This window comes from Homo sapiens, chromosome 6, assembly GCF_000001405.40.
Source record: "Homo sapiens chromosome 6, GRCh38.p14 Primary Assembly".
In the NCBI taxonomy this organism is placed as follows: domain Eukaryota; kingdom Metazoa; phylum Chordata; class Mammalia; order Primates; family Hominidae; genus Homo; species Homo sapiens.
In genome coordinates, this window is record NC_000006.12 from 4,379,426 (window position 1) to 4,385,425 (window position 6,000).

Below are 6,000 nucleotides of genomic sequence, written 5' to 3' on the forward strand. Positions count from 1 at the left end.
TCTAGGAAACATTTCATTTTGTATATATATCTATAGATATCTATAGATATAGATTTTTTTTGGCATCTGAGATTCTTCGGGCACTTTCACAAAGGGTTGTTACAACTGCACAATGTCATCGTTTTAGTGAACACCTAGTACTTATTCCATATAGATCCCAACATTGAAAAGTCGTTTTCACTCACGTCTAATCAACCTACTGAAATGCCTTTCTGGTCACTGGTCAGGTGTGTTGGTGAGGAGAATACACTTGATTCTTCTATCCCCAAAGTAGCCATTTTAAGGAATATCTATCCAGATACCCAAAGTGGTAAGCTCCTGGCAGCTTAACCAAATGCTAAAAGGGGTTGCTGGGTGCAATGAGAAATGCTTGAGAGGAAAAGGTGGGGGAAGCACCAGGCTGAACACGAGGTGTGCTGTGCTGTGTGTCCCATGGCGGACAGCGGGCACCTGGGGCTGGGGTGCCATGCTCCAGCAGATCGGGGAGGGAAATTTGGGAAATGCTGTTTTCCTTCCCCACACTTCTCTGAAAGTCAGCGAGCAGAGTGCTCTGTTTTTATACTAAGTTATCCATTACACAGAAGCCTGAGTACCCAACAGGCTAGAATTTCAACAGAGGCTCATCTCTTTACTTTGGAGGCAGGAAGGCTTCCACTTCATCATCACTGAAGGTAAGGGAATGTCAGTAAAGACTCATTTGTTTGACAACTGAGGTAAGGGAACATCAGTAAAGACTCCTTCATTTGACGCCTGGTTCCTGCGGCTCTCCTGGTGTGGTGATGATTGGCCCAGGATTTCCAGAAAGCCTAGCCAAGGGGCAGGCTGAGAAATAAAGATAAATGAATGTGAACCATCTGAGAAAGCATATCCCATCCATATCCACTGCCTGTTTTCAACGTGCAGTGGAGGGGCTGGTATGGGGGTGCAGTGGCAGAAGTTCATTACAGCTGAGTGTAAATTAGAGAAGGCACCCCCACATTCTGATGGATACAGTCTTTTATGCTTCCAAAGCAGCCCTTGCATATATTATCCTACTTGATCCTAACAGTGATAATACCACTACACAGACAAGAAAACTGAGGCTTAAAGAGGGCATGTGATTTGTACACACTGAGACTATCAAACCCCAAATCCAGGTTTTCTGACTCCAAATCCAGAGTTTTTACCAAAGCGACACACAGTCTTCAGGGAACCAGGGAAACACCTAGCATTGATTGAATACCTACTGTGTGTCTCACACATCGTTTCTCCTATTTCATCCTCTCACAGTCCTGCCCAGTAAGCATGAACTTGACCATTTCTCTGAAGAAGAAGCAAGTTCGGCTTTAAACAATTTGACCAGCTACAAAGTGGTGGGGAGTTGGGGTTAAAACCCAGTTCTACTAGCTTGCAAAGACAATTTTCTCTCCTCTCTGCTGATCTAGTCATTGTGTATTAGACATGAGAAAACAAAGACCCAAGAGGTTAAGTGACTTTCCGGATCACACAGCCGGCTCAACAGAGAGCTGAGACCAAAATCTGACCCAGTACAACATGGGGATCTGGGCTGGGTTATTGTCTAATCGTCACTTCCCTGAAATCAAACAAGACTATAATGAGGTACCTGGTTAGTGCTTCCTAAGCAGCTCTAACATTTAGTAGAACAAAGTGTTGAAGGAGGTCTGGGACCTCAAAATGCCCGAAAGAATGGTATCAAAGCCGGCAGCCAGGGGCACAGCCAGGTCAGTTCTATATATAGATGTAATTGTTCACCAGCGATTTCAACTAGCTTGTCTGAGCAGCCTCGGCTCTCTTTGGTCTGCTGTCTCCATGGGTGCCAGGAACTGTGCTGTGAATATCTGGATGCTGCATCATTAAACCTATTGAGTATCTCACTGTCTGCTGAGCCCAACTGTGACTCTGTTCAAACAAATAAAGGTACCTAATGGCTGCAACCTGAATTGTGGGCACATGGCCCAAGTGGTAATCAGAGATGGCCTATGTCACTGAGGCAGAAGACCCACAAGAAGTGCAGAGAATAATAGAGATGCAGAGGCTATTCCCAGATTCCCACTGGAAGTCCCATTAGCAGTGACAAAAGGAGACACAGACGGAGGAGAGAGTTGCGGCAGATGGTCTCCATCCAGGAAGGAGCAGAAGAGATGCTGACGTCAAGAAAAAACGGGGGCTGTGACTCTACTGATGACTCTATTTCCTGTTCCAGGCTACTTGGCAGGGATTCTGGTAGGAAGAATATTTATTGTCAAACCTTAATAGGCTCTATTCTTTGCAATTATTTGAGCATCTGAAGAGAGGAGAGGGTCTTGCAACTGGAGGAGGATATTTTGCCTGGCCATTGGTTGGGGCTCAGTTGCTGTTGTGAGTGGAGTTCTGATAGCATCTCTCCGCCCTTGCAAATTTTTATAATGGCTAATTAGTATCTTGCGAGTAGAGTGGGGAAAACAGTGGATCTCTGAGCATTTTGAGGGTCAAGGATTGGAAGGCAGTTCTGCTGCACTGGGCCATATTGCAGTGAGGACAACAGAGCCCAAGAGAGGGAACTCATAATTAGGAAAGCACTTAAAATCAAGATGAACAGTTGTGCAGGTTGTGCACTGAACAACATTGTGGCATCATTTACTTCTTAATCTCTCTTTAGATTTTTATGGTGCACAACATGCAAATTATATGTCACAACCCTGGCAGTCTACACTAGCAAACCTTACACAGCCCCTAACTGTTGAGGTCAGAGAAGGGAACTGATTCTAGGTATAGCATATTGCAAATACTAGAATCCACCTTGACCTGCCCACTCAGGTGCCCTGGAGTATTTGAAGAAGATGACTTCAGGTTTGTTTGAACTTAAAGTGCTATAGCACCAAATGCTATTACAATTTAGGACATAAGCAATTTTTGTATGAAACATATCATTCTCACTCTTAGTTCTCCGGAGTCAGAAGGAACTAAGAAAGGTTTACCTGGAGGTCAGCAAGAGCAGATGGATGAACGGGAGCCAGGGAAAGAGGGAGTTGGGCTACCAAGCCTTGGTACAGCTGAGAGCAGCTCCAGTGTGGTCAGCAGATTTCCCTGGTGGGGGCTGTGGCTGCCACAGGTTCGAATGATGCAATGGGAGTGACATCTCCAAGGACTGTGAAGGAGCCAGGGCGGGGGTCATTCAAGTAACAGGGACCTGATGAAATTCCCCTTGGGCTGTCCATGAGTGCCAATTGAAACTAGCTTGAAAATCTGCAGAAGCAGATTGGGAGCCTCACACACACTTGGGAAGGGGAGAATTTGTGGCAGATAGTGGCTTGGCAGAGCTGAGCACTGGGGATCAATGGAACATGGCCTCTTTTACACTCAATGGCTATCCAAGGCTAAGGCCTGCTGGCTACACAGATATGTTCATTTCACTGCAGAGACAGGGAGGGTGTCAGTAAATGGCTTCATTTTGTATCCCTTGTATCTGCAGGCCACAGAGGAAAGGCTCTACACCCAGACACACAAGGAATAAAGCAGTGTGTGCCTCCCAGAGTGGGTGGAAAGCCAATGATCGGACAATCAAATGGGGTCATGGAGCCAGCAGGAATGAAGCAACTGGTGTCCAGTAGAGAAGAGGGAGAGAAACCTCGAGGTCTTAATTTCACAGAGGTTCTTGACACAGGGTGGGATTCATTGCTGTCTAAGAAGGGAACTTAGGATCTTGTGGAGTTTTGTTTTTTTTTTTTCTGAAGCTACTTCCTCAGTGTGTTGTTTGGCCAAAATCAGGAAGAAAATAAAACCTACCTGTTAGGGTATGTTGCACTCAGAAAACCTGGCTCAGCTGATGGGATATTTATCACACTAAGTATGCTGACATTTTCCAGGATTCTTGAGGAGGTCTAAATAGAAGGATCTAAATTCACCAAAATGATAGCATTCTGTAAGAGAAAAGACTAAACAAAAATATCCTCAAGGCAAGAGGATAGCTTGAGACCAGGCATTCAAGACCAGCCTGGGCAACCCTGTCTCTACAAAAAACAAAAAAATTAGCCAGGCATGGTGGTATGACCTATAGTCCCAGCTACTAGGGAGGCTGAGGAAGGAGGATCACTTGAGCCAGGAGTTCAAGACTGCAGAGAGCCATGATGAACTGCTGCACTCCAGCCTAGGCAACAGAGTAAGACCCTGTCCCAGGAAAAAAAAAAAAAAAATCCTCTTCTGTCCAAAATAATACAGGCTGAGAGGGAAAGTCATAAGGTTTGTAAGATTCAGCTGAAGGAAAAGACAGAAAGCATATTGTGTTAATGCAGCAAGAAGAAAACTTATGAAATTGTGATAACAGGTGGTGCCCTGAAGTTAAGAATTTCTAAAGTTCCATTTTCACAATTTAACCTACCTTTAAGGACAGTAGTGCAAGTAGTTAGTTCTCAAAAAGTTCCACAGTGCCACTGCTGTCAACAAGACATTGTTTAAATGAATTGTTAGTTGGGGGCATATGTCAGAGATGATAAATTCCTCTTCAAAGGTTTTAATTCCCTCTTCTTCCAGTTCTTTGTTTCTCTAGTTTCTATAGTTACCCGTGCTGTAAACAACCCTTCCTGCCCTGACTGTTCCCTGACATGTCCTGACAAGTCTAGACAGGCCTTGCACCATAATGGATAGCCTTCCCCTTCCTGCCTAGATAGCTGTATTCAATTTCAAACATTAGCCAATCAGGTCAGTTTAGACTGTGCAGTCCAACCCCAGCCAATGGAGAAAGAACACAGCAGTAGGAACCAATTGCATTAGGGATAAAAACCCCTGCCCTATCCCCCGGCTCGGTGTTCTCTTGTGATCGTGACTGGCACAAGCTGCGTCCTTCTGCAGAAGTAAATTTGCCTTGCTGAGAAAATTTCTGTTTGAGTGCTATTTCTTTTGCAGCACCAAAACTTATTTCTAACAAATTTGGGGGCCTGTGTGGGATTCCCATTCTCCTCTGGGGAAGGGTCCGGTCCTCTCCCATGAGGAGGCACATCCTGCTGCCTCATTGCGGTAGCCTCAGGGGTAAGGAATCGAGACTCACTCAGTGTGATGAATAAACCTGGACTCTCAGCAACACAGGAAGAAACAGACCAACAACTTTGAAAAAAGAAAAAAAAAAGGTAATCACATACTGTGGTGTCCAGGTAACTCTGTGCACAGATCAAGGTAAGAAACCTCACAGTGGCGACAAAGTATTTCCTTGATGATCGGAACATCTCGGAGGTTGGAAGTTGAAAGTGTGTGAATAAGCACTACTGGTGTGCGGAGTGAGCGAGTCCAATCTGTGGTTCTGTGGTCACCTCATATGACTTACAGCAGCCTTTTGGGGGTCCTGTCAGGGGTTTATACTGACCCACCAATGTTAAAAGGGACATGATGTTCCCTTCGGGGAAGCAGCCAGAGAGGAGGAAACGAAAGGAAAAGAGTGCAAGAAGCCTCCACTAGGGGGTATTGAGGCTCTGGAGAAAAGGAAAGCAAGAAATCCCAATATGGGTGGGGCGGGGGTGGGGGTTGAGCCTCTAGAAGAAAGGAAAGGCGAGAAATCTCCAGTAGAGGGGATTGAGCCTCACACAAACCTCCAGTCATAGGGAAGGCAAAAAATTTCCAGTAGGGGAAGTTGAGCCTCACCCTAAAACCATCAAGATGGGAAATACCCCAAGTAAGACAGAGAGTAAAAAGGATAAAGCTAACAGCAATGATATTCCCCTTAATAGTCCTCTAGGTCTCATGTTAAAGTATTGGAAAGATAATGAAAGGACTAAGCATAAGAAAAAGCAACAAATGTTAAAATATTGTTGTTTTATTTGGACCTAGGAACTAATCCTCAAACCCTCAGTTTTCTGGCCAAAATTTGGGTCAAATGAGGATTGCATTTGTCAGCTTCTAATAGAACATGTTAATAACAAGAGTCTAGTTTCCCAAGAAGAGATAGATTATGCTTTGTGTTGGCGACAAGGACCTGTTCTTCTCTACCCCCTAAAAGCTCTAAAAGATAAGCATAAGCCACAGAATGTTTCC

At 44.8% G+C, this 6,000-nt stretch overlaps 1 annotated feature.

Annotated features, from left to right (window-relative positions):
* Positions 4,154-5,353: an enhancer, noted in NCBI's record as "MED14-independent group 3 enhancer chr6:4383813-4385012 (GRCh37/hg19 assembly coordinates)". NCBI's record gives its function as "activates an origin of replication core promoter dependent on BRD2, BRD4, P300/CBP and CDK7 cofactors, and independent of MED14, by STARR-seq in HCT116 cells {active_cell/tissue: HCT116}" and the evidence as "EXISTENCE:reporter gene assay evidence [ECO:0000049][PMID:35650434]".